Source organism: Homo sapiens, chromosome 1 (genome assembly GCF_000001405.40).
Source record: "Homo sapiens chromosome 1, GRCh38.p14 Primary Assembly".
Taxonomy (NCBI): domain Eukaryota; kingdom Metazoa; phylum Chordata; class Mammalia; order Primates; family Hominidae; genus Homo; species Homo sapiens.
The window spans coordinates 27,052,234-27,079,544 of record NC_000001.11 but is presented as its reverse complement, the minus strand read 5'-3'; the positions used below and the strand labels follow the sequence as shown (position 1 = coordinate 27,079,544).

The window sequence follows — 27,311 nt, the reverse complement described above, 5'->3', positions numbered from 1 at the left end:
CTCTCCAATACAGCCACTTGCTTCATCAAAGTGTGCAAAGAGGCAACAGAAACCTGGGCAACATAGTGGGACCCCATCTCTACAACATTTTTTTTTTTTTAGATGGAGTCTCGCTCTGTCGCCCAGGCTGGAGTGCAGTGGCATGATCTTGGCTCACTGCAAGCTCCGCCTCCTGGGTTCACGCCATTCTCCTGCCTCAGCCTCCTGAGTAGCTGGGACTACAGGCGCCTGCCACCACGCCCAGCTAATTTTTTTGTATTTTTAGTAGAGACGGGGTTTCACCACGTTAGCCAGGATGGTCTCGATCTCCCGACCTCATGATCTGCCCATCTCGGCCTCCCAAAGTGCTGGGATTACAGGCGTGAGCCGCTGGGCCTGGCCACAACATTTTTTTTTTAATTAGCTGGGCATGGTGGCTTGTGCCTGTAGTCCCAGCTAACTTGGGAGGCTAAGGTGGGAGGATCACCTGAGCCCGGGAGGTCGAGGCTGCAGTGAACCATGATCGCACCACTGCACTCCAGCCTGAACGACAGAGGCACTGTCAAAAAAAAAAGGCAATAGGGAGAGGCTGCTAGCAAGACAAAAGTTACTATCTTATGTAATCTAATCATGGAAGTGACATTGCATTACCTTTGCCATATTCTATTGGTTAGAAACAAATCACTTATCCCGCTGGGCGAGGTGGCTCATGCCTGTAATCCCAGCACTTTGGGAGGCTGAGGCGGGCAGATCACCTGAGGTCAGGAGTTCGAGACTAGCCTGCCCAACAAGGCGAAACCCTGTCTCCACTAAAAATACAAAAAATTAGCTGGGCGTGGTGGTGGGTGCCTGTAATCCCAGCTACTTGGAAGGCTGAGGCAAGAGAATCACTTGAACCCAGGAGGCAGAGGTTGCAGTGAGCTGAGATCAAGCCACTGCACTCCAGCCTGGGCAATAAGGGGGAAACTGTCTCAAAAAAAAAAAAAGAAAGAAAGGGCTGGGCGCGGTGGCTCATGCCTGTAATCCCAGCACTTTGGGAGGCCGAGGCAGGCGGATCATCTGAGGTCAGGAGTTCAAGACCAGCCTGACCAACATGGAGAAATCCCGTCTCTAATAAAAGTACAAAATTAGCCGGGCGTGGTGGTGCATGCCTGTAATCCCAGCTACTCGGGAGGCTGAGGCAGGAGAATCGCTTGAACCTGGGAGGCAGAGGTTGCGGTGAGCCGAGATCATGCCATTGCACTCCAGCCTGGGCAACAAGAGTAAAACTCCGTCTCAAAAAAAAAAAAAAAAAGGAAGAAAGAAAGAAAAAGAAACAAATCACTCATCCCACCCACACTCAAGGGTGGGGGATTATATAAAGCGTTGATAACAAGAGGCAGCGATCACTGGGGGTCATGGAGTCTGCCCACCTTGTGAGTAAAGGAATTGAATCAGTAGTCAAATATCTTCCCGTAAAGAAAACTCCACCCATGCCTGCTCAGTTCTGCCAAGTGTTAAAGTAACAATTCTGATCTTACATAAATCTTTGTCCTCATTTCCAATTATTCCCTTAGAACGGGGAAATTAATGAGGCAAAGCTCTTGACAAATGCTGCTGATTTCTTTTCCAGGAATGTTGTACTAATTTACACTCCTACTACGTTCTATACCTAATCTTTCCAACATTATGAAAATTTTCAAACATGAAGAAAAATGGAGATAACTGTACAATAAATGCACATATACTCACCACCTAGATTCTATAGTTGTTAGTATTTTGCTCTATTTGCTTTATCATAGAGCTATCCCTCTATTGATTCATCAACACATTTTTTTTAGTTATTTTCCAGAGATAGGTTTTGCCTCTTCTAGAACTTCATGCAGTAAGTACTCTTTCGTGTCTGCCTTTTTCTTTTTTTCTCTTTTTTTTTTTTTTGAGACGGAGTCTTGCTCTGTCACCCAGGCTGGAGTGTAGTGGCACGATCTTGGCTCACTGCAACCTCCGCCTCCCAGGTTCAAGCGATTCTCCCTGCCTCAGTCTCCCAAGTAGCTGGGATTACAGGCGTGATCCACAGCACCTGGCCCTGCCTTCTTTCACTCATCCCAGTGTTTTTGAGGCTCATCCACACTGCTGTCTGTATAGCAGTCCCTTCTGTTTTGTTGATGAGTGGTATTCTATTGTTTGAGTACAACAAAATTATTATTTTGATGAACACTTGGGCTGTTTCCAATTTTGGACTGTAACAAAGCTGCTATGAACTTTGTACGAATTTTTTTGTGGATATATATTTTCATTTCATTTCATTGCAGGTAAATACCTGCAAGTGGAATTACTGGTCATGCGGTACACGAATATTTAGTTTTATAAGAAACTGCCATTGGGAGGCTGAGGCAGGAGAATCACTTGAGCTCAGAAGTACAAGTACAGCCTTAGCAACATAGCAAAACCCCATTTCTAAAAGAGAAAGAAAGAAAGAAGGAAGGGGAAGGGGAAGAGAAAAAGAAGGGGAGGAGAAGGGAAGAAGGGGATGGGAAGGGAGGGGAGAAAAGAGGAGGGGAAAAAAGGAAAGGAGGGAAGGAAGGAGGAAGGCAGGAAAGAAGGAAGGAAAACTTTTCCTCTTGCCAACAATATATGAGTTTCAGTGGATCCTTGTCTTGGACACACTTGGTGTTGACAGTCTTCATTTTTAGCCATTCCGATGGGTCATTTTATTCCATAGCATCTCATTGGGGTTTTAATTTGCATTTCCTTGATAGCTAATGATATCGAACATTTTGTCTTATATTTATTGGTTATGCACATATCTTTCTTTGTGAAGCGTCTGTTCAAATCTTTCACCCATTTTAAAATTGGGTGTTTGGCTTTTTATTGTTGAGTTTTAGAAATTATTTATATTCTGGCCAGTCACGGTGGCTCATGCCTGTAATGCCAACACTTTGGGAGGCCGAGGTAGGCAGATTACTTGAGGCCAGGAGTTTGAGACCAGCCTGGCCAACATGGCAAAACCCTGTCTCTACTGTTACATTACTTACAAATGACAAAAACCACAATTGCTTTTGCACCAACCTAATAAAAATACAAATATTAGCCAGGCATTGCAGACCACACCTGCAATCCCAGCTAATTGGGAGGCTGAGCCATGAGAATCGCTTAAACCCGGGAGGCAGAGACTGCAGTGAGCTGAGATCATGCCACTGTACTCCAGCCTGGGTGACAGAGCAAGATTGTAAAAAAAAAAGAAAAAAAAAAGAAGTTCTTTATATTCTGGAAACAAATCTTTTGTCAAGCAAAGTGGCTTGTCTAATCATTTTCTCAGTGATGACTTTTTTTTTTTTTTTTTTTTGAGCCAGAGTCTCACTCTGTCACCCAGGCTGGAGTGCAGTGGCACGATCTCAGCTCACTGCAACCTCCGCCTCCTGGGTTCAAGCAATTCCCCTGCCTCAGCCTCCCAAATAGCTAGGATTACAAGATGTGCGCCACCACGCCCAGCTAATTTTTGTATTTTTGGTAGAGACAGGGTTTCACCATGTTGGCCAGGGTGGTCTCGAACTTCTGACCTCAAGCAATCCACCTGCCTCGGCCTCCCAACGTGCTGGGATTACAGGCGTGAGCCACCGTGGCCGGCCTAGTGATGACTTTTGATGATAGAAGTTTGAAATTATGATGAAGTCAAATTTATCATTTTTTAATGGTTATTGCTTTCTGTGTCCAGTCTAAGAAACAGTTGCTGGCCGGGCTCGGTGGCTCATGTCTGTAATCCCAGCATTTTGGGAGGCCGAGGTGGGCAGATCACCTGAGATCAGGAGTTCAAGACCAGCCTGGCCAACAAGGTGAAACCCCGTCTCTTCTAAAATACAAAAATCAGCTGGGTGTGGTGGTGGGCGCCTGTAATCTCAGCTACTCAGGAGGCTGAGGCAGGAGAACAGCTTGAACCCGGAGGTGGAGGTTGCAGTGAGCTGAGATCCCACTATTGTACTCCAGCCTGGGCAACAGAGCAAGACTCCATCTCAAAAAAAAAAAAAAAAAAAAAAGAACAAAAGAAAGAAAGCGTTGCCTACCCCCAGGTTGCTAAGATTTTCTCCGGTTTTCTTCTAGAAGCTGTATGGCTTTAGTTCTACAATTAATTTTGACAACAACTCAAGAATTTGGCAGGGCGCGGTGGCTCATGCCTGTAATCCCAGCACTTTGGGAGGCCGAGGTGGGCGGACCACCTGAGGTCAGGAGTTCAAAACCAGCCTGGCCAACATGGTGAAACCCCATCTCTACTAAAAATATAAAAATTAGCTGGGCATGGTGGCGTGTGCCTGTAATCCCAGCTACTCGGATGCTAAGGCAGGAGAATCACCTGAACTGGGAGGCAGAGGTTGCAGTGAGCTGAGATCACGCCACCGCACAGCCTGGGTCACAGAACGAGACTCTGACTCAAATAATAATAATTAGATGGTGTTTTTCTTTCTTTATAGGGGAGGAAACTAAGGCCATAGAAAGGCTAAGTAACTTGCACTTGGGCACACACATGCACAGCCATGTGCACACACACAATCCTAGTAAGTGATTGTGCTGGAAGCTGGAACAGGAATCCAGGCAGTAGGCTATAGACCCAGGCTCTGACACCACTCGGTGCCACTTCTGAAAGGGGCAGTGGGGCGTCCTCCTCAAGGTAGTAGGGTTCTCTGGAAAGAAGGAACCAGACCAAACTATTATCTAGGGCCAATGGCCCTGTCCTTTCCTACAGAAAGAGAGAGCCAGGCCCCTGGGGCTGGAGAAGGAGGAAAGAAAGGCTGGAAGGACTTGGGGTCATGGGTGACTCCAGGAGGGGTTGGACGAGTCTGGCCAGGCTCCCTCTGACTGCTCCAGGCCAGCCCCCAAGTCCCTCCACAGGCCCCACCAAGGGGCTTCCCATCCTGTTGGTCCCGAGGGCAGTATTTCTCTCCAGCTCTACCTAAGTTCCTTTTGCATTTAGCCAGCACAGGCACTGCAGCTAGAGGATTCATTCAGGACACAGACTTTTATTCAGGAAGAACCTGAACCCTTGTGTGTTTGCCCATCAAGGGTGAGGTTTCTCCACTGACTTCACCACTGGGCATGGGGGAACCAGGACGCATCTCAGATGATCCCACCCCACCCTGGGCTCTTCAGATCCTCCCTATCTCTGCTCAACAGCAGCTTCCATTTCCCTTTGAGACTCAGGGTCACACCATAATGACTCATATTTTATCATCTGTTTTCTCAGTGGTGGTGACAGTCTCAGCTTCCACTTCAGAGGAATCATTTTTTAACCTCCTGATGGATCCAGTCCTCCCCTGAGGACCAAGGATGTGCCACTCCCTGCACTGGCTCCCAGACCCATGGACACTGACTCCAGGAGAAACAGCATCATGTGTTTTTTTGAGACAAGGTCTTGCTCTGTCGCCCAGGTTGGAGTGCAGTGGTGTGATCATGGCTAACTGCAGCCTTGACCTTATAGGCTCGGGTGATCCACCCACCTCAGCTGCCCAAGTACCTGAGACTACAGGTGTGTGCCACTACACCTGGCTAATTTTTTTTTTTTTAGAGACGGGGTCTCACTACATTGCCCAGGCTGGTCTTAAACTCCTGTGCTCAAGCAATCCTCCCACCTTGGCCTCACAAAGTGCTGGGATTTCAGTCACGGAGTCACCACACCCGGCCGTATCACATGTTGTTACTGGCACAGAGCATATGCCCCCTTCTGCAGATCTGCAGGCTTCCAAGGTGGTGTGACTTGGCTGCCAGGGCAGTTCACCATGCAGAGACCACCTAACCCAGGGTCATGGGTATAAGGAAAGTCCAATGAGCCCCACAGGGACCGGCCCACTGTTCATTGTTGTTGTTGTTGTTGTTGGTTTTTTTGTTCTTTATGTTTTTGAGATGGAGTCTCACTCTGTTGCCCAGGCTGGAGTGCAGTGGCATGATCTCGGCTCACTGCAGCCTCCACCTCCCAGGTTCAAGTGATTCTTCTGCCTCAGCCTCCTGAGTAGCTGGGACTACAGGCACCTGCCACCATGCCCAGCTAATTTTTATATTTTTAGTAGAGATGGGGTTTCACCATGTTGGCCAGGCTGATCTTGAACCTCGGACCTCAGGTGATCCACCTGCCTCAGCCTCCCAAAGTGCTGGGATTATAGGCGAGAGCCACTGTGTCTGGCCTGGCCCACTGTTTCACACCTCTGCAGCCTTCACAGAAGCATGAGCTTCTCGGCAGGAGGCAATGTCCTGTAGGACACCCAACAGGTGCCCTTCAGTGAGACCCTGATTGGAAGTGCAGAGGGAGGATGGAAACGCAAGTCCAGCTCGACAACAAGGATCCATCGAAGGAGGACAAATTGCTGTCTTCCATGAAGGAAAATGTTTGTGTAACCAGGCAGTCACCAGCTGGCTGGCTGAGCCACAAGGGCTCAGGTGTGGCCACTCAGAGGTGATGGCAACCAGGTTGGCTTTGGTGAGGGAAGGTCGTACTGGAGAAGCTGGGCAAAACCTCCATGCCTGCCCCCATACCTGCCCCCATGCCTGCCTCCTTACCTGCCTCCATGCCTGCCTCCTTACCTGCCCCCATGCCTGCCCCCATACCTGCCTCCATACCTGCCTCCATGCCTGCCCCCCATGCCTGCCTCCATGCCTGCCTCCGTGCCTGCCCCCATACCTGCCTCCGTGCCTGCCCCCATACCTGCCTCCATGCCTGCCCCCATGCCTGCCCCCATGCCTGCCCCCATACCTGCCTCCGTGCCTGCCTCCGTGCCTGCCCCCGTACCTGCCCCCGTACCTGCCCCCATGCCTGCCCCCATGCCTGCCTCCATGCCTGCCTCCATACCTGCCTCCATACCTGCCTCCGTGCCTGCCCCCTTGCCTGCCCCCTTGCCTGCCCCCGTGCCTGCCCTCATGCCTTCACCCATACCTGCTTCCATGGCCACTTTGTTCGTGGCCCCATTGATTCGTTTCTTGACCAGCTGTGGCTTATGGGAGACTCACAGAACCCAGGACTTCACCACGTAACAGTATGTTCTCCTCTTGGGAAGCAGATGGAATTAACAAACGGTAACTATTAAGCAAGTTACACCAGGAGATAAATTACATATATTGCAACAAGGGGAAAGAAAACATGTGATGTTTGCAAAATTCTTAAGGGAATTTATCCTTGTCCTGGAAAAAAAAAAAAAAAAGCTGGCTTGCTGGTCAACATTTCTATTCGAAAATTAAGGCTCATCGTGCTTCAAGTAAGGTAAGGAAGTCTGGGATGTCACCCTGGATGCCACCTCAAATGAGGTAGAGTCACAAACTAGTGGTGACTAGTTCTGTCCCCAGGGAATAATGATCACATGTTGATTGGCATTATTAGAGCAGGATAATGGACCAGGAAAAACCCTGTAAATGGTCTGTATCCTCTTTTTATTATTATTATTTTATTTTTTTATTTTTTTGAGAAAGTCTTGCTCTGTCACCCAGGCTGGAGTGCAGTGGTGCAATCTCGGCTCACTGCAACCTCCGCCTCCCGAGTTCAAGCGATTCTCCTGCATCCACCTCCTGAGTAGCTGGGATTACAGGCGTGCACTACCACGCTCGGCTAATTTTTGTATTTTTACTAGACACGGGGTTTTGCCATGTTAGCCAGGCTGGTCTCAAACTCCTGACCTCAGGTGATCCACCGGCCTTGGCCTACCAAAGTGCTGGGATTACAGACGTGAGCCACCGCGCCCAGCGTGTATCTCTTATTCTAAAATTTAAGTCTCATTGCAATTGGAAGTATCAAAGGTAAGGCTACATGTGGTTGGGACATCTTCTTGAATTTTGTCCAGGTCCTAATAATAGAGAAAGGGAAGATGGTGACACCCACAGGTGTCACCTGACTGTTAAAAGCCTCTTTTGAGGGGGAGGGCTTTGGTAAACAGTCACTCGGGTCAAGCATTCTCTTGTAATCTGGGCCGTTTCTGAGAGTCCCACCACATAGTTGCTGACCCAGTGCCTCTGTTTCACCAACTTCCCCATCACCCCCTCCCAAGACTGGCCCACCCGGCAAGACCACCAGCCACTGCCCCGGCTGAAGTAGAGCCAGACCTTGGGCCACCTTTCCTTTCACACAAAGTGCAGCTCTTCATACAGGACCCCACGTGCCTGTCAGTGCTTCTGCCCAGGAGCTCCAGTCTTCACCAGTCTTTCTGCTTGCATCTACCCTGGACTGCTGCAGGCACGGGAAGGGCCTCTCCTCCCTCTTGCTGGTGGAGACAGGCAGCAGTGCCTCCGCAACTCATTTCAGGCTGGGGCTGGCTGCTGCGGAACCATCTGTTCCCAGGCTGTGGAGAGAGCTCAGAGTTGTCTGAGGAATGACCTCGAAGGCTCATCCTGGGTTGCCTGGCAACCAGCAAGCTGGGACCAGTGGCTCCCTGTCCATACAGGAGGGGCAGTGCCTGAACTCAGCTTCCCACGGAGGGAGTTGGGAGCCGAGGGAGATGGGAGTGCAGTGCCTCCGTACAGGCCCACGCTCCACCACACAGCTGGCACAAGCTCAAAATATTCATGCCCCACCCCATTGCCTAAGGTCATTCTCACACCCAGCCATGACAAGGGAGAACGTAGAGGGGCTTGCATCCCTGTGCTCCCTGATGCCTCCAGCCTCACACTGGACGCCATGTGCCTGTCACCGCTTCTGCCCAGGAGATCCAGTCTTCACCAATCTTTCTGCTGGCATCCACCCAGGCTGTCTGCCTGGCTCATGCTCGAGTGTTCAGTTGGTCTTAGGGACCTGTGCCCAAGGTATGGGCGGACGCAGGGGCTTTGGGAAGCTGGAGAAGGGACTCTGGGGAAGGAGCTGCCTGCTGAGAGGCTCAGCTGGGCTTCAGGACATGCCTGCGCTCAGCCCTCACCCACGTGTACTTTCTCCCCTTGATGACAGAAACCGTTGGGCACACCTGACTTTGTGGCAAGGTCAGACAGTGCTCAGCTCTGGTCACATGGTCCCCAGGTGCCGCAAGTCAGGTGTTCCATCTCCCCAGGGCCCAGGAGCTTACCAAAGGCATGAGCTGTTTCTCAGGAGAACCATGGTTTACAGAAGGGGGCGCAGCTTTGCACTAAAATCCTGGCTCCTGAGCTGAGATTGGCTTCCTGGGGCTGGTCCCAGGCTCCATAAGGGTAGCTCGATGTGCTGTAGACACTGGTAGCCTCAGATGATTCCAGCAAGCTTTGGAGTGAGCGCTGTGTGTGAGGGCAGGGTTACGAAGGCTGGGTCATCCTCACCATCCAGGGCCCTGGGGACAGGGCTACCTCCTCAGGGAGGGCTGCCCAGAGCCTGCCTCAGGGGATGGACACAGATGACCTGAGGCCCTGGGTGCTTGACCCCTGCCCTCCACCCTCACTGCCTCCCCCAAGTCCCCTGATCTCCACCTGCCTTCAGTTCACCCAAGGGTTCGGAATGGACTCCTGATTTTCTTAAGAGTTACATGAGGACACAGAATGAAGCCCTGTGGTCTCCAACTTGAGTGTGCCTTGAAGTCCTCTGCATGGAGAACGTGGTTAAAGGAGAACTGCCCAGGTCCCAGCTCTAGAGAGTCTAATTCAGCAGAGCTGAGTGGTATACCAGAATAGACATTTTATTTTATTTATTTTTTTTAGAGACAGGGTCTACTTCTGTCACCCAGGCTGGAATGCAGTGGCACTCACTTCAACCCCAAACTCCTGGGCTCAAGTGATCCTCCTGCCTCAGCCTCCCGAGTAGCTGGGACTGTAGAGAGGTGTGCGCCACCATGCCTAGCTAATTAAAAAATTTGTGTAGGGGCTGGACATAGTGGCTTACTCCTGTAATCCCAGCACTCTGGGAGGCCAAAGCAGACAGATCACTTGAGGTCAGGAGTTCGAGACCAGCCTGGCCAACATGGTGAAACCCCGTCTCTACTAAAAATACAAAAAAAGGCTGGGCGCAGTGGTTCATGCCTGTAATCCCAGCACTTTGGGAGACCGAGGTGGGTGGATCACGAGGTCAGGAGATCAAGACCAGCCTGGCCAAGATGGTGAAACCTCATCACTACTAAAAATACAAAAATTAGCTGGGCGTGGTGGCGGGTGTCTATAATCCCAGCTACTTGGGAGGCTGAGGCAGAGAACTGCTTGAACCCAGGAGGTGAAGGTTGTAGTGAGCCGAGATCACGCCACTGCACTCCAGCCTGGACGACAGAGCAAGACTCCGTCTCAAAAAAAACAAATGAACAACAACGAAAAAAAGTAGCCAAGCATGTGGTGGCGTGCATCTGTAATCATAGCTACTTGGGAGGCTGAGGCAGGAGAATCACTTGAACCTGGGAGGTGGAGATTGCAGTGAGCTGAGATGGCGCCACTGCACTCCAGCCTGGGCGACAGCCAGACTCTGTCTTAAAAAAAAAAAAAAATTCTTTTGTAGAGATGGGATCTTGCTATGTTGCCCAGCCTGGTCTCAAACTGCCAGGCTCAAGTGAGCCTCCCTCCTCAGCCTCCCAAAGTGCTAGGATGATAGATGTGAGCCACTGCACCTGGCCTATAATCTGTGTTTTAAACACGCTTCTCACCGTGATTCTGATTCAGGTAGTCACCCATCAACACTTTAAGAAACACTGGTGGAGTTTCTCAGGGTCAGGCAAGCCTGGGTCTAAATCCAAGTTCTACTCCAGCATTAATCTGGATTCATTTCAGCTACGAATGATGGATACCTGAATAACAGAAGCCTAAATGTGATAGAATTTTGTTGCTCTCATTTAAATTTTATTCTCTCTAGGAATACAGTCCAGGCTGGCACAGTGATGCCACAATCATTAGGGACCTAGACTTTTTCTGTCTTGTTGCTCCCAAATTCTCTGCATTTGTCTTTTGTCTCATGGCCCAAAATAGCTGCTCCAGCTCGAGCCATCATGCCTACATTTCATGCAGCAGGAAAGAAGAAAGGGGAGGAGAAAGACACATTGCCTCCGTTTAAGGGCAGTTCTTGAAAGTTGCATATGCCACTTCTACGTGCCAGAACTTAGTTATTTTGGCTAGAGCTACTGCAAGGGAGGTGGGAAAATGTAGAGATGTATTTAATTTTTTGTAAATAGTGACTTAAGGCACACAAAGAGTGTCTAAAGAAGCTGAAACAGGCTGGGCACAGTGGCTCACACCTGTAATCCCAGCACTTCGGGAGGCCGAGGCAGGTGGATCACCTGAGGTCAGGAGTTCGAGACCAGCTTGACCAACAGGGTGAAACCCCGTCTCTACTAAAAATACAAAAATTAGCCAGGCGTGGTGGCTAACGCCTGTAATCCCAGCCACTTGGGAGGCTGAGGCAGGAGAATCGCTTGAACCCGGGAGGCGGAGGTTGCAGTGAGCCGAGATCGTGCCATTGTACTCCAGCCTGGGCAACAAGAGCGAAACTCTGTCTCAAAAAAAAAGAAAGGCCAGGTGCGGTAGCTCACGCCTGTAATGCCAGCACTTTGGGAAACCGAGGCAGACGGATCACGAGGTCAGGAGATCGAGACCATCCTGGCTAACACGGTGAAACCCCATCTCTACTAAAAATACAAAAAAATTAGCCGGGCATGGTGATGGGCACCTGTAGTCCCAGCTACTCGGGTGGCTGAGGCAGCCGAATGGCGTGAACCCGGGAGGCGGAGCTTGCAGTGAGCCGAGATGGCGCCACTGCACTCCAGCCTGGGTGACAGAGCAAGACTCCGTCTCAAAAAAAAAAAAAAAAAAGGAAGCTGAAACAGAGAAAAACAGAGAAACAGAGAGAGGGAGAAGATGGTGCAAGCTAAACATAAAATCGGCTAACCTCAGTTGTGTACTTCCTGAGTGCCAGTTACAGTTCTAAGCCTAATTCCTCCCACAGTTCTGTGAGGTTGGACCTACTATTTTTTTTTTTTTTTTTTTTGAGATGGAGTCTCGCTGTATCACCCAGGCTGGAGTACAGTGGCGCGATCTCAGCTCACTGCAACCTCTGCCTCCCTGGTTCAAGCAATTCTCCTGCCTTAGCCTCCTGAGTAGTTGGGGTTACAGGCATGCGCCACCACAACCAGCTAGTTTTTTGTATTTTTAGTAGAGACAGGGTTTCGCCCTGTTGGTCAGGCTGGTCTTGAACTCTTGACCTCGTGGTCTGCCCACCTCGGCCTCCCAAAGTGCTGGGATTACAGGCATGAGCCACCGTGCCCAGCCTGGTCCTACTATTTCTTATCTTCTGGAACAGGGACACACACAACCCACCCCTGAACCCAAACTACACAGATTGAAACATGAGCTTTGCCTGCTTACTACCTGCATGACTCTGAGCAAGTTCTTTGCTAATGAAAGGGAATGTGGTGGGGCGCGGTGGCTCACACCTGTAATCTCAGCTCTTTGGGAGGCTGAGGCTGGCAGATCACTTGAGGTCAAGAGTTCGAGACCAGCCTGGTCAACATGGTGAAACCCCATCCCTACTAAAAATACAAAAATTAGCCGGGTGTGGTAGTGGGCACCTGTAATCCCAGCTACTCGGGAGGCTGAGGTGGGAGAATTGTTTGAACCCAGGAGACGGAGGTTTCAGTGAGTCAAGATCATACCACTGCACTGCAGCCTGGGCAACAGAGTGAGACTGTCTCAAAACAAACAAACGAAAATAAAAAAGGAATGGAAGCCATATTTAATTAGGACCAAACAAAATTCACCCCCTCCACCTGGGGATGTTGCCCCAACACCTTCACAGAGTCAGGCCTCTGCCAGCCAGGAGGAGGGGGCACACTCTGCCATGTCTATAAACTGGGTGTCGGCAGGGGTGCTCACGGGACTGAGGCAAGTTTTCCTCAAGCCCCATCCCATGCCCTGGGTCATGCGAAGCCCTCCCTCCATCCTCTGTACACTCCAGAGATTTTTGTTCTCAGGGAACTTCTAACTCTGGCTTCTTGTTCTGCTGAATTCTTAAGTCTGTGTGTGTTTGGAGCCTCGAGGTGCAATTGCTGGGCTCTGGCACTGCCAGTGGGTCTGCTTCTGACACAGTGCCGGGTACCACGAGGATGTTCAGTAAATGCTTGTTGAATTAATAATGACAACCATTATTTAATAAGTGCTTACCATGTGCCAGGCACCATGCTAAGGACTTTACATATATTCTGCCATTTGACCCTGACAACTGCCAAGATCTTCATTGTACCCACAAAGAAACTAAGACTCGGGCTGAATGTTGTGGCTCATGCCTGTAATCCCAGCACTTTGAGAAGCTGAGGCAGGAGGATCTCTTGAGGCCTGGAGTTTGAGACCAGCCTGGGCAACATAGTGAGATTCTGTCTCTACAAAAAAAAAAATTTTTTTAATTAGCCAGGCATAGGCATGGTGGCATGAACCTATAGTCCCAGCTACTTGGGAGGCTGAGGCGGGAGGATTACTTGAGTCCAGGAGTTCTAAGTTACAGTGAGTTATGATCATGCAACTGCAATCTAGCCTGGGCAACAGAGCGAGACCCCATCTCTAAACAAAAATAAATGGAGACTCACAAAGCTTAGGTACTTGCCAAAGGTCTCATAGCTGGTAAGTGTCAGAGCAGGAATTTGAATATGCAAATTTTTTTTTTTTTTTTTTTTTTTTTTTGCCCAGGTTGGAGTGCATTGGCGCCATCTCGGCTCACTGCAACCTCCTCATCCTGGGTTCAAGCGATTCTCCTGCCTCATCCTCCTGAGTAGCTGAGATTATAGGCTCATGCCACCATGCCCAGCTAATTTTTGTATTTTTAGTAGAGATGGGGTTTCACCATGTTGGTCAGGCTGGTCTTGAACTCCTGACCTTGTGATCCGTCCGCCTCAGCCCCCCAGAGTGCTGGGATTATAGGCGTGAGCCACTGCACCCGGCCTACAAATTCTTAACCATAATTATCAGGTGTCTACATCCCTCAAATGACCACCCCTCCCACCCCACTCATACTGCAACAGATCCAGGAGCCTAGGGTCCCAAGAAGGGCAGAGCCTATCTAAGGTGACGGCTCTGTGGGCTGACACCACAAGAATGAGTTTGTTTGTTTTTTTTTTTTTTTTCAGTGCCTTTATTTTTTATTTATTTTTTTTTTTTTTATTGATCATTCTTGGGTGTTTCTCGCAGAGGGGGATTTGGCAGGGTCATAGGACAATAGTGGAGGGAAGGTCAGCAGATAAACAAGTGAACAAAGGTCTCTGGTTTTCCTAGGCAGAGGACCCTGCGGCCTTCCGCAGTGTTTGTGTCCCTGGGTACTTAAGATTAGGGAGTGGTGATGACTCTTAACGAGCATGCTGCCTTCAAGCATCTGTTTAACAAAGCACATCTTGCACCGCCCTTAATCCATTTAACCCTGAGTGGACACAGCACATGTTTCAGAGAGCACAGGGTTGGGGATAAGGTCACAGATCAACAGGATCCCAAGGCAGAAGAATTTTTCTTAGTACAGAACAAAATGAAAAGTCTCCCATGTCTACTTCTATCCACACAGACCCGGCAACCATCCGATTTCTCAATCTTTTCCCCACCCTTCCCGCCTTTCTATTCCACAAAACCGCCATTGTCATCATGGCCCATCCCCAATGAGCCGCTGGGCACACCTCCCAGACGGGGTTGTGGCCGGGCAGAGGGGCTCCTCACTTCCCAGTAGGGGCGGCCGGGCAGAAGCGCCCCTCACCTCCCGGATGGGGCGGCTGGCCGGGCGGGGGGCTGTCCCCCCCACCTCCCTCCCGGACGGGGCGGCTGGCCAGGCAGAGGGGCTCCTCACTTCCCAGTAGGGGCGGCCGGGCAGAGGCGCCCCTCACCTCCTGGATAGGGCGGCCGGCCGGGCGGGGGGCTGTCCCCCCCACCTCCCTCCCGGACGGGGCGGCTGGCCGGGCAGAGGGGTCCTCACTTCCCAGTAGGGGCGGCCGGGCAGAGGCGCCCCTCACCTCCCGGACGGGGCGGCCGGCCGGAAGGGGGGCTGACCCCCCCACCTCCCTCCCGGACGGGGCGGCTGGCCGACCCCCCCCCGCCTCCCTCCCGGACGGGGCGGCTGGCCGGGCAGAGGGGCTCCTCACTTCCCAGTAGGGGCGGCCGGGCAGAGGCGCCCCTCACCTCCCGGACAGGGCGGCTGGCCAGGCGGGGGGCTGATCCCCCCACCTCCCTCCCGGACGGGGCGGCTGGCCGGGCGGGGGGCTGACCCCCCCCCCCTTCCGGACGGGGCGGCTGGCCGGGCGGGGGGCTGACCCCCTCACCTCCCTCCTGGACGGGGCGACTGGCCGGGCAGAGGGGCTCCTCACTTCCCAGTAGGGGCGGCCGGGCAGAGGAGCCCCTCACCTCCCGGACGGGGCGGCTGGCCGGGCGGGGGGCTGACCCCCCCCACCTCCCTCCCGGACGGGGTGGCTGCCGGGCGGAGACGCTCCTCACTTCCCAGACAGGGTGGTTGCCGGACGGAGGGGCTCCTCACTTCTCAGACGGGGCGGTTGCCAGGCAGAGGGTTTCCTCACTTCTCAGACGGAGCGGCCGGGCAGAGACGCTCCTCACCTCCCAGACAGGGTTGCGGCCCAGCAGAGGCGCTCCTCACATCCCAGACAGGGCGGCGGGGCAGAGGCGCTCCCCACATCTCAGACGATGGGCGGCCGGGCAGAGACGCTCCTCACTTCCTAGATGGGATGGCGGCGGGGAAGAGGCGCTCCTCGCTTCCTAGATGGGATGGCGGCCGGGCAGAGACACTCCTCACCCTCCAGACTGGGCAGCCAGGCAGAGGGGCTCCTCATATCCCAGACGATGGGCGGCCAAGCAGAGACGCTCCTCACTTCCCAGACGGGGTGGCGGCCGGGCAGAGGCTGCAATCTCGGCTCTTCGGGAGGCCAAGGCAGGCGGCTGGGAGGTGGTTGTAGCGAGCCGAGATCACGCCACTGCACTCCAGCCTGGGCACCATTGAGCACCGAGTGAACGAGACTCCATCTGCAATCCCGGCACCTCGGGAGGCCGAGGCCGGCGGATCACTCGCGGTCAGGAGCGGAGACCAGCCCGGCGAAACCCCGTCTCCACCAAAAAAAAACGAAAACCAGTCAGGCGTGGCACTGGGCAGGCTGAGGCAGGAGAATCAGGCAGGGAGGCTGCAGCGAGCCGAGATGGCAGCAGTACCGTCCAGCCTCGGCTCGGCATCAGAGGGAGACCGTGGAGGGAGAGGGAGAGGGAGAGGGAGAGGGAGAGGGACGAGTTTGTTTTTTTTTGAGAGGAGTCTCGCTCTGTCACCCAGGCTGGAGTGCAGAGGCGCGATCTCAGCTCACTGCAACCTCTGCCTCCCGGGTTCAAGTGATTCTCCTGCCTCAGCCTCCCGAGTAGCTGGGATTACAGGCACCCACCACCACACTCGGCTAATTTTTGTATTTTTAGAATAGATGGAGTTTCACCATGTTAGCCAGGCTGGTTTTGAACTCCTGACCTCAAGTGATCGGCCCACCTCAGCCTCCCAAAGTGCCAGGATTATAGGCATGAGCCACCGCACCTGGCCAAGAAAGGGTTTTTGTTTAGGCTTCAAACAACTGCAGGACATTTCTGTCCAATATCTTCTATTTCCTGCCCCCAGCTCCCCAACACCCACTTCTCCACCAGCAATTCTGCACAGCAGAGAATGGAGGCCACTTCCACTGTGGAAGGTGTGGGAAGGACAGGCCTTTCACCCACGGGGGAACTGGAAAACATTTCCAGAAAAGCAGCCTGGTACATAGCTGAGAGTCCGGACGCTAGCCTGCCACTCTTCAGCTCTGTGGCCTTGGCCAAGCCAGTGGGGATTAAATGAGTTCATACAGGTCACATAAAGCCCTTAGGATGCTGCCACTGCACTATCTACCCTCCAAGGGTTAGCCTCCATGATGATGACTTCAGCCACAGCCAGTACCAGCAGGAGTCAACAACCCTGGGGAGGGTGGGGTGCTGGCCCCTCATCTTTCTTTTTATAAATAATGACTTTTGGCTGGGCACGGTGGCTCATGCCTGTAATCCCAGCACTTTGGGAGGCCAAGGCAGGAGAATCACCGGAGGTCAGGAGTTTGAGACCAGCCTGGCCAACATGGTGAAACCCTGCCTCTACTAAAAATACAAAAATTATCTGGGCGTGGTGGCACATGCCTGTAGTCCCAGCTACTTGGAGGCTGAGGCAGGAGAATCGCTCGAACCCGGGAGGCGGAGATTGCAGTGGCCCAAGATCATGCCATTGCACTCCAGCCTGGGCAACAAGGGTGAAACTCCATCTCAAAAAAAATTTTTTTTTAAATAGCAAGTGATATATGGTCACTTATTATAAAAAAATGTAAAAATTCAGATTTAAAACGAATCACCTGGCCAGAGGTGGTGGCTCACTCCTGTAATCCCAACACTTTGGGAGGCCAAGGTTGGTGGATCACTTGAGGTCAGGAGTTGGAGACCAGCCTGGCCAATATGGTGAAACCCTGTCTATACTAAAAATACAAAGATTAGCTGGGTGTGGTGGCACATGCCTGGAATCTCAGCTACTCTGGAGGCTGAGTCAGGAGAGTAGCTTGAACCGGGAGGAGGAGGTTGCAGTGAGCTGAGATCACGCCACTGCACTCCAGCCTGGGCGACAGAGTGAGACTCTGTCTCAAAAAAAAATAAAAAAATTAAAAATTAAATAAAACAAATCACCTATAACTCACTCTCCAAAGATCATCTTTGTGGCTGTCTCACCCATCAGCATCTGCCATTGAGTCACCCTGGTCCCAGTCACCCAAGACGCTGGGTTTGCTAAGGGACTGATGTCTCAGGGAGGAAAAGAGGCTGAAGAACAGGCCGTGCAAGTGTGGCTGGCTTGTCCCCAGCAGAGAATTTAGGAGCAAAGCATTTCAGTGACTTTTAAAAGTAAATCAGGCCAGATGTGGTGGCTCATGCGTGTAATCCCAGCACTTTGGGAGGCAGAGGTGGACGGATTGCTTGAGCTCAGGAGTTCAAAACCAGCCTGGGTAACATGGTGAAACTCCGTCTTTACAAAAAGTAGCCAGCCACTGTAGCATTTGCCTGTAGTCCCAGCTTCTCAGGAGGCTGAGGTGGGAGGATCACTTGAGCCCAGGAGTTTGAGGCTGCAGTGAGCCAAGATCTCACCAGTGCGCTCCAGCCTGGGCAACAGAGTGAGACACTGTCTCAAAAAAAAAAAAAAAAAAAAAAAGGTAAATCAGAGGGGCCACCCCTGCTTAAAACCTTTCACCAGCTTCCCACTATGCTGAGGAAAAGGTCAGGGTCCCTAAAGTAGCCCGCAATGCCCATACCCCACACACCTGGCCTGCATGCTGGCCTCCATGTATGAGCTGTATGACTTTGAACGAGTTATTTAAACTTGTCTGTGCTTCAGTTTCCTCATTTATAAAATCGCAATAACAGAACCTACCTCAGGACTGTTTGAGGGTAAAATATGCTACATGAGGTGCTTAGAATAGGGCCTGCCATGCGGAAAGTCCTCAAGAAGCATTGCTGCTATTACTGTTATTATTTTTGTCCCACTGTCTCTTGCTCTCCCCGCTAGGATACACACCCCAGCTGCCTGACTGTGGAGCTCCGCCTTCTAACCCCTCTGGCAGCATCCAAAGGCAAAAGGCCACGGCAAAGCTTCTCCTCAGACGTCCTCCTTGAAGACGTCCTCCTTGTTTTATAAGGGGGTGGGGGAACTTTCCAGAACCCCTTTCTGTCTCATTGACTAGAATGGGATTCTATGCCTGCCCCTAAACAAACAGAGGTAGAGAGTGGGGCCGGGCGCGGTGGCTCACGCCTGTAATCCCAACACTTTGGGAGGCCAAGGCAGGCGGATCATGAGGTCAGGCAATCGAGACCATCCTGGCTAACACGGTGAAACCCTGCCTCTACTAAAAAATATAAAAAATTAGCCGGGCGTGGTGGCGAGCGCCTGTAGTCCCAGTGTAGCAGGACGAGCTGCAGACAAAACTCCTCAGACACCGAGTTGAAGGAAGGGGTTTAATCGGCTGGGGGCATCGGCAAGACTCCTGTCTCGAGAGCCGAGCTCCCCGAGTGAGCAATTCCTATCCCTTTTAAGGGCTCACAACTCTAAGGAGGGTGCGTGTGAGGGGGTCGGGATTGATTGAGCAAGCAAGGGGTACGTGACTGGGGTCTGCATGCACTGGTAACTAGATCGGAACAAAACAGATAGGGATTTTCACAGTGCATTTCTATACAATGTCTGTAATCTATAGACAACATAACTGATTAGGTCAGGGGTCGATCTTTAACTACCAGGCCCAGGGTGCAGCGCCGGGCTGTCTGCCTGTGGATTTCATTTCTGCCTTTTAGTTTTTACTTCTTTCTTTGGAGGCAGAAATTGGGCATAAGACAATGTGAGGGGTGGTCTCCTCCCTTACCAGCTACTCGGGAGGCTGAGGCAGGAGAATGGCGTGAACCCCAGAGGCGGAGATTGTAGTGAGCCGAGATTGCGCCACTGCACTCCAGCCTGGGCAACAGCGAGACTCCGTTTCAAAAAAAAACAAAAAACAAAAAAACAACATCAACAATAGAGGCAGAGAAGAAAGGGAATACCATAGTTATACACACCTGACCCAAAGCAGGGCTCTGTTCCCGTAGACTGGTGGTTCTCAGGTTCCAGGAGAGTCAGAATCACCTGAGGGTTTAAAAAAAAAAACAATTTCCAGGCCGGGCACGGTGGCTCATGCTTGTAATCCCCGCACTTTGGGAGGCCAAGGCAGGCGGATCACCTGAGGTCAGGAGTTTGAGACTAGCTTGGCCAACATGGCGAAACCCTGTCTCTACTAAAAATACAAAAATTAGCCGGGCATGGGGGTGGGTGCCTGTAATCCCAGCTACTCCGGAGGCTGAGGCAGGAGAATTGCTTGAACCTGGGAGGCGGAGTTTGCAGTGAGCCGAGATCGCACCACTGCACTCCAGCCTGGGCGACAGAGCGAGACTCTGTCTCAAAAAAAAAAAAAAAAAAAAAAAAGAATCCCAGCGTGGAAGAGGGGAAAAGATGTAACCCAGCCTGCAAATGCGGGCTCCTCCCTAGAGACTGGCATAAGGTGAGTGCCAGCCCAGACGTGGCCATCACTGTAGCTACACAAAGCCTCCAAGGTTTCTGCCAGCTCTGGGGGCTCATGTGCTCATGGCTGCTGTCCTGCTTCTGCTGATTCCTTGCAGCTGTCGCCTTTACTTCTGTCCTGGAGTTGACCCAAATGAGGGGCAAGAACTGCAGGACATTTTCCCCTGCTCCCAGAGCAACTGCGGGTATAAGGCTGTTGGGCTGTCGTGTGAGGGGGATTTTCCTAAAGACACAGCACACAGGGAGAATAACAGAAGTCACCTTCCTGAGGCTGCCCCGCACTTGGGTTCTGAGGACCTTCGCTCCCTCCCCTCCTTCTCTTCTCCTCCCTCCTGTCTCCCCTGCGGCAACCTGAACTACTCGGCTCTCTCCCCGCTCCTCCTCCTCCTCTGCAACTCAGCTCTAGTCCTGCCTGAGGCCGAACCCTTGAACAGGAGGCCAGGGCTGGAAAGTTGTGGAAATGCCCCTGTGGGGAGCCCTGCCAAGGATGCTGAGGCTGAGCCCCAGCCTGGGGGAGGGGGTGTCCTGATCTGAGCAGACCCTGAGGGCAGACAGAAGGCAGCCAAGGTCTAGAGCTGGTGCCTCTAACCACCTCTACCCCAGAGGCTGTGGGATGCTTGGGAGCCAGGATAGGGCCGGGCTTTGGGTCTACACTACCTTGGTCCTGAGATGGAGTCTAGGAACATTGGTGGGGGTGCCAAGCATTCTGTAGAGGTAGGATGGGGTGGGTCCCTCTCACTTCTTCAGCCCTCAAGATTGCATACAACAGGCTCCTAAGAAATCACTGAGGCTGGCTGGCACGGTGGCTCACAGGTGGCTGAGGCAGGAGAATCACTTGAACCCGGCAGGCAGAGGTTGCAGTGAGCCAAGACCGCGCCACTGCACTCCAGCCTGGGTGACAGAGCGAGACTCCGTCTCAAAAAAAAAAAAAGAAAAAAAGAAAAAAAGAAATCCCTGAGGCTTTTAAGCCTCGGAGGGAGAGCCTGCTGACTCCTTGAGGTGTACAGAGGCACCAGTTTTTAGGAGGACAGAATCTTTCTAAGGCAGTTTGATTTTTACCTTCTCAGGTGCAGGAAAAGTGACTGTTTCCTTCTCTGTGAATTTCCCATGGACTAAGGGACTCCCGACAGGGGGAGGGCCCTCTTGGCAGTCAGCTTATTCTGAAATTTGAATTTCCAATGCACCTGGAGGAATCCAGAGGGGAAAGGTTGTTATTTATAACCAAAGCTTCCTTCTAAGGAAAGTAGATCCTGCTGCATTAACTAAAAGGCCCTTTTGTTCTTAAAAGGCCCTTACTGGGTTTGGCTTGGCAGCCTGGTTTGGGAAGAGCAGGAGGGGCTAGGGAGAGCTGAAATGCAGGGTCTCCTGTGTGAGAATTGGAAGCCCCTGGGGCATCGAGGTGTCTGTCACGCAGGGGCTGAAGAAGGGAGGCGGGTAGATGGGCATGGGCGCCAGCAGATGGGAGCAGCAGCCCTGTGCGGGCGGGGCTGGAGGATGCCTGAGAAACCAGCTTGTAAGAGCAGAGACGTCCCAGTGCCACTTTCAGTCGTGTGCTGAGCCACTCTATAACTCTTCCAGGGACCCACAAATCTTAGTGAAATTCTGCTTACAGAGCAGTCTGGTATCCACGGTTTCTTGGGAGAAGAAACGGGCTGCATCCTACATTTGAGTCAATTCCAGGGCAGAAATAAAGGGAACAGCTGCTAGAATTCAGCAGAAGCCGGAAATCAGAGGCACACAATTGTAAGCCTGAGAAATTGCAGAAGCCTTGTGGAAAGTAAGGGATGGGGTCTGAGCCAACCTTATTTCAATCCCAGTGGGCTGGCGGACCCCAGCTACCAACCATGGGTTCTGCCTAGGGGCAGATATTTGCCCCCCCGCTTCCTTGCTAAAAGAAGCTTGTTTTGTTCTGGTGGGAGGACAATGTACTAATTACCCCCAGGTGGATGGTGACTGGGATATTTACATTTGATCCACTCCCCTCTGCTGGTAATTGGGTTGGGGAGAACCATGGGACCCTGTTCTGGCCAATGAGATAAGAGGGGGAGGCTGCTGGGGGCTTCTGGGAGGAATTTTCCTCCTCTTACAAAAAGAGATGTTTTAGGAGGACCCCTGTCCAAGCCTCCCTTCCTGAGATGCTGCCCGTGGCAAATGCAGCCACACAAAAGTGCAGGCTCCAGGGTCAAACCATCTGGGCTAAAAGCATGGCTCTGCCTCCGATTGGCTGTGTTGTCTTAAGCAGATTACTTGACCTTTCTGTACCTCGTGTTCCTCCTCTGCAAAATGAAAATAATTGGACTTTCTTCTCAGGGTGCTGTGAAAATCAAATGAGTGAATACACCTAAAATGCCCAGACAGTTCTAGCACATGATAAGTACTCAATATATAACAGCTGTTATTTAGTTGCTCTCTGTGGATATGATGCTTGGAGCCACGGTAGTCATCTTTCAACCATGAGGGCCTTGACTCAAAAATGGTCTACCCCAAGATATCTTAAGATAAAAGTCCTGTGGGGTTTTTTTGTTGTGTTTTTTTTTTTTTTTTTTTTTTTTTGAGACACTCTCACTCCATTGCAGAGGCTGGAGGCTGGACTGTAGTGGTGTGATCATGGCTCACTGCAGCCTTGACCTCCCAGGCTCAGACGATCCTCCTGCCTCAGCCTCCTGAGTAGCTGGGACCACAGGCACATACCACCGCACCTGGCTCATTTAAAAAAATTATTCGGAGAAGGCCGGGCACAGTGGCTCACGCCTGTAATCCCAGCACTTTGGGAGGCTGAGGCGGGCAGATCACGAGTTCAGGAGTTCAAGACCAGCCTGGCCAACATGAGGAAACCCCATCTCTACTAAAAATACAAAAATTAGCCAGGCGTGGTGGTATGTGCCTGTAGTCCCAGCTACTTGGGAGGCTGAGGCAGAAGAATCACTTGAACCCGGGAGGTGGAGGTTGCAGTGAGCCGAGATCGCACCACTGCGCTCCAGCCTGGGCAACAGAGCAAGCCTCTGTCTCCAAAAAAAAAAAAAAAAAAAAAATTATTTGTAAAGATAGAGGTCTCCTCTTATGTTGGCTAAGCTAGGAAACTCCCAACTCTTTAGACAACTTTTAGCTTAGTATTCTGTTACTTGCAGCCTAAATCTCCCTAACCAATTCATAGATAAAAACTTGATACTTATGATTGTTTTATGATAAGAAATTAAACCACCTAATCCATGGGATACTCATATTTACTGAGAACACTGCTGAGAACCCTGGAGGCAGATTACACAGCATTGACTGCTAGTCATCCTCAAATGCGTAGTTTCTCCTTCTCTCTTTAATAAATAGAATGGCCATATTTTAGCTGGGCACATGCTGCGTGGCTAGAAAGCACATTTCCCAGGCCGGGCCTGGTGGCTCACACCTGTAATCCCAGCACTTTGGGAGGCGGAGGCGGGTGGATCACTTGAGGTCAGGAGTTCAAGACTAGCCTGGCGAACATGATGAAACCCCGTCTCTACTAAAAATACAAAAAATTGGCCGGGTGTGGTGGCCAGTGCCTGTAATCCCAGCTACTTGGGAGGGTGAGGCAGGAGAATTGCTTAAACACAGGAGGCGGAGGTTGCAGTGAGCCGAGATCACGCCATTGCACTCCAGTCTGGGCGACGGAGCGAGCGAGACTCTTCATCTCAAAAAAAAGAAGAAGAAGAAGAAAGAAAGTACATTTCCCAGTTTCCCTTGCAACTAGGTGAAGCCATGGGCCCAAGCTTTAGCAAAGAAATATGAATCGAAGTGATACGTGCCAAAGGATTGGGTATTTTCCCACCTCACTCTTCTGTCTCTGTTTTTTTTTTTTTTGAAACAGGGTCTCACTCTGTCACCCAGGCTGGGGTGCAATGGTGTGATCACAGCTCACTGCAACCTCCACCTCCTGGACTCAAGCAATCCTCCTACCTCAGCCTCCGGAGTAGCTGGGACTAGAGGTGTGGGCCACCATACCCAGCTTATTTTATTTTATTTTATTTTTTTTGAGACGGAGTCTCACTCTGTCGCCCAGGCTGGAGTGCAGTGGTGCGATTTCGGCTCACTGCAACCTCCACCTCCCAGGTTCAAGCAATTCTCTGCCTCAGCCTCCAGAATAGCTGGTATTACAGGCCCCCACCACCACACCCAGCTAATTCTTGTATTTTTAGTAGAATCGGGGTTTCACCATCGTGGCCAGGCTAGTCTTGAACTTCTGCCCTCGTGATCTACCCGCCTCGGCCTCCCAAAGTGCTGGGATTACAGGCGTGAGCCACTGCGCCCAGCCGCCCAGCTTATTTTTTGTATTTTTAGTAGAGACGGGGTCTCACTATGTTGCCCAGACTGGCCTCAAATTCCTGAGCTCAAGTGATATGCCCACTTCTGTCTCCCAAGGTACTGGGATTACAGATGTGAGCCACCATGCCCAGCCAGAAGGGCCATTTTGAAGGTGGGCACAGTTGACCCACCAGACATGAAAACATGAAGACCTAACTCCGACCTCTTACATACAAGAAAACAAACAATCTTGTTTAAGCCACTGTATTGTTTTATTGCTTCACTGCAACAGATCTACATGAAGCTCCAGAATATCAAGTGGAAATAGCAGCACAGAAATACTGTCCTGTGAGTGTTTCTGCGACCCATTGTATCAGTTCGCTGTTGCTGCATAACAAACCACCCAAGACTTAGGCTTAAAACAGTAATGTTTTTTTATTTCTCATGAAAATGTGGGTTGGCTGCATTCTTCTGCTGATTTTTCCAGGGCTTACTTGTGCAGCTACGTTCAGCTGGAAGAATGGCTGTGGGCTAGGTTCAGCTGGGATGGTGGGGATGGTTAAGCCTCACTCTTCATGAGATCTTTCATCCTCAAGGATGACCATGTAGCCTAGGTTTCCTCACATGGTGGTTCCAGGACAGTGCTAACAGAGTAAGCCCCAAATCACAAGCACTTATCTGGCCTCTGTGTCATAGTCACTGATGTCCCACTAGCCAAAGCAAGTCACGTGGCCAATCCCAGAGTCACCATGGGAGGGGCCTATCCAAGGGCGTAGATACCAGGAGGCTTGATTCATTGGGCCATTTGATTAACAATCAACCTCATTCTATCATGCCCCATGAATTTTAGGAGCTCATTAAGGATAATTAGAAATCCTGGTGCAGTACTCATTAGGCCCATCTGCACAGGGACTAATATAGGATTAGGGGCAATTGAAATTCCTTCCCCTATTTGGTTATTCATCACCTAGCTCTGGAAAAAAGTTTGAAGTTGTTTACATAACTATAAAAGATTTTTAAATGATAAAATTAAAAATGAACGTTGGTGAGAATCAGAACAGAAAGAAAAAGAAAGGAGAGGAAAAAAAAAGATGGTATCAGGAGTAGGGTTAGAGCAAAAATTGCCTATCCCAGGGGCCCAGGCTCCTGCTAGGAGAGGGACTTGAGGTCTCGCTAGACAGTGCTGGGACAAGATCAAGGAGATGGTCAGGGCATGGTGGAGAGGATTGGGGTCGAGGATGTGGCCTTCCAGTGAGCACCAGCACTTTGTGCAATTTGCGGCACTTTGGGAGCTGGGATGAAGCTACATCTGAAACACTTCTCAACCTTTGCTGTGCATCTGGATCGCTTATAGAGCAGGTTTAAATATAGATTCCTAGGCCCGATGTCTAGAACTTGTTTTTTTCTTTGTTTTGAGACGGAGTCTAGCTCTGTTGCCCAGGCTGGAATGCAGTGGCGTGATCTCGGCTCACTGCAACCTCTGCTTCCTGGGTTCAAGCGATTCTCTTGCCTCAGCCTCCCAAATAGCTGGGATTACAGGCATGCCTGGCTAATTTTTTTTTTTTTTTTTTTTTTTTTGGGAGACAGGGTCTCAGTCTGTCATCCAGGCTGGAGTGCAGTGGTGCAAACATGGCTCACTGCAGCCTCGACCTCCTGGGCTCAGGTGATCCTCTCGCCTCAGCCCTGCAAGTAGCTGGGATCACAGGCGCTTGCCATCACGCCTGGCTAATTTTTCGTATTTTTTGTAGTGATAGGGTTTTGCCATGTTGCCCAGGCTGGTCTCGAACTTCTGAGCTCAATTGATCCACCTGCCTTGGCCTCCCAAAGTGCTGGGATTGCAGGCGTGAGTCATGGCACCGGGCCTGGAACCTGTATTTTTAACATACTTCCCAGGTGATTCTAAAACAAGTGGTCTTTGAACGACATTTTAAGTGACTTTGAAGCCCATAAGTGGGTGCCAGAATCTGGGAAGGATATTCACAGGGGAAGAATAGGTGAGAGGAAAGGTTCTTTTTCTTTTTTTTTTCTTTTTGTTTTTTGAGACAGAGTTTCGCTCTTGTTGCCCAGGCTGGAGTGCAATGGCGTGGTCTCGGCTCACCGCAACCTCTGCTTCCCGGGTTCAAGCGATTCTCCTGCCTCAGCCTCCCGAGTAGCTGGGACTACAGGCATGCGCCACCACGCCCGGCTAATTTTGTATTTTTAGTGGAGACGGAGTTTCACCATGTTGGCCAGGCTGATCTCGAACTCCTGACCTCAGGTGATCCGCCCACCTCGGCCTCCCAAAGTGCTGGGATTACAGGCGTGAGCCAGCACGGCCGGCCGAGAGCTAAGGTTCTTAAATTAGTGAGTGGTTCTCAGAATCTCAGGAAGATCCTAGAAAAGGGAGGGGGGGTGTCATGGGCTCTTGGACCACCCTAATATCTCAGATCCTTTTTTCTACACAGAACAAACCTCTTCCTTGAGTAGCTATCCTCCTAGTGAGTTTCTTGGCCCTCAGCTGTGTTAACTGCCCTAGGACCTGCCCCACCCCTACGCCATCATGGCTGGGAGTCCACCCCTACCCCGCCATTGCTGATTGGACCAGGGATGGGCACCTGACACGGCTGAGCCAATTAGATTCTGTCTGCCAGGAAATTGGAGCAGAGACAAGTCTCTGGTACCAAGTCTAGCTGTGCTCCACAGTGAGAGCCCATGAACCCCCGCTGTTAGCATCCACAGGACTGCCCTGGTCCCTGCCCTTCCTGGGCCTTGGCTCTTCAATTTCCCTTTGTACTGTGACGCACTCTGGCACCCTCCCACTGGATTCCACTTTTTTTTTTTTTGGAGGTGGAGTCTCGCTCTGTCGCCCAGGCTGGAGAGCAGTAGCGCAATGTTGGCTCACTGCAAGCTCCGCCTCCCGGGTTCAAGCACTTCTGCCTCAGCCTCCCAAGTAGCTGGGACTACAGGCGAGGCAGCTGGGACTACAGGCGCATGCCGCCACGCCCGGCTAATTTTTTGTATTTTAGTAGAGACGGGTTTTCGCCGTGTTGCTCAGGCTGGCCTTGAACTCTTGAGCTCAGGTAATACGCCCACC

At 51.4% G+C, this 27,311-nt stretch overlaps 1 long non-coding RNA gene across 6 annotated transcripts in view, besides 2 other annotated features; it reads right to left on the bottom strand.

Moving 5' to 3' along the window:
• Nucleotides 1–13,959: 13,959 nt before the first annotated feature.
• Nucleotides 13,960–27,311, bottom strand: part of LOC101928391 (uncharacterized) — a 33,828-nt gene continuing 20,476 nt past the window's right edge. For 4 of the 6 annotated variants that reach the window (XR_947110.4, XR_947112.4, XR_947111.4 and 1 more), the window contains 2 exons: nt 21,023–21,147; nt 18,791–19,531 (listed from right to left, as the gene is read on the bottom strand). This is a non-coding gene — a long non-coding RNA (uncharacterized LOC101928391). Of the gene's footprint in view, nt 15,934–18,790; nt 19,532–21,022; nt 21,148–27,311 lie in introns of those variants that run through there. The other 2 variants (XR_007065559.1, XR_947115.2) reach the window with 2 other exon arrangements.
• Nucleotides 20,193–20,487: a silencer, noted in NCBI's record as "tiled region #8493; HepG2 Repressive non-DNase unmatched - State 21:Repr, and K562 Repressive non-DNase unmatched - State 21:Repr". NCBI's record gives its function as "represses a minimal TATA promoter and a strong SV40 promoter by Sharpr-MPRA in HepG2 and K562 cells {active_cell/tissue: HepG2 | K562}" and the evidence as "EXISTENCE:reporter gene assay evidence [ECO:0000049][PMID:27701403]".
• Nucleotides 21,213–21,507: a silencer, noted in NCBI's record as "tiled region #512; HepG2 Repressive non-DNase unmatched - State 21:Repr". NCBI's record gives its function as "represses a minimal TATA promoter and a strong SV40 promoter by Sharpr-MPRA in HepG2 cells {active_cell/tissue: HepG2}" and the evidence as "EXISTENCE:reporter gene assay evidence [ECO:0000049][PMID:27701403]".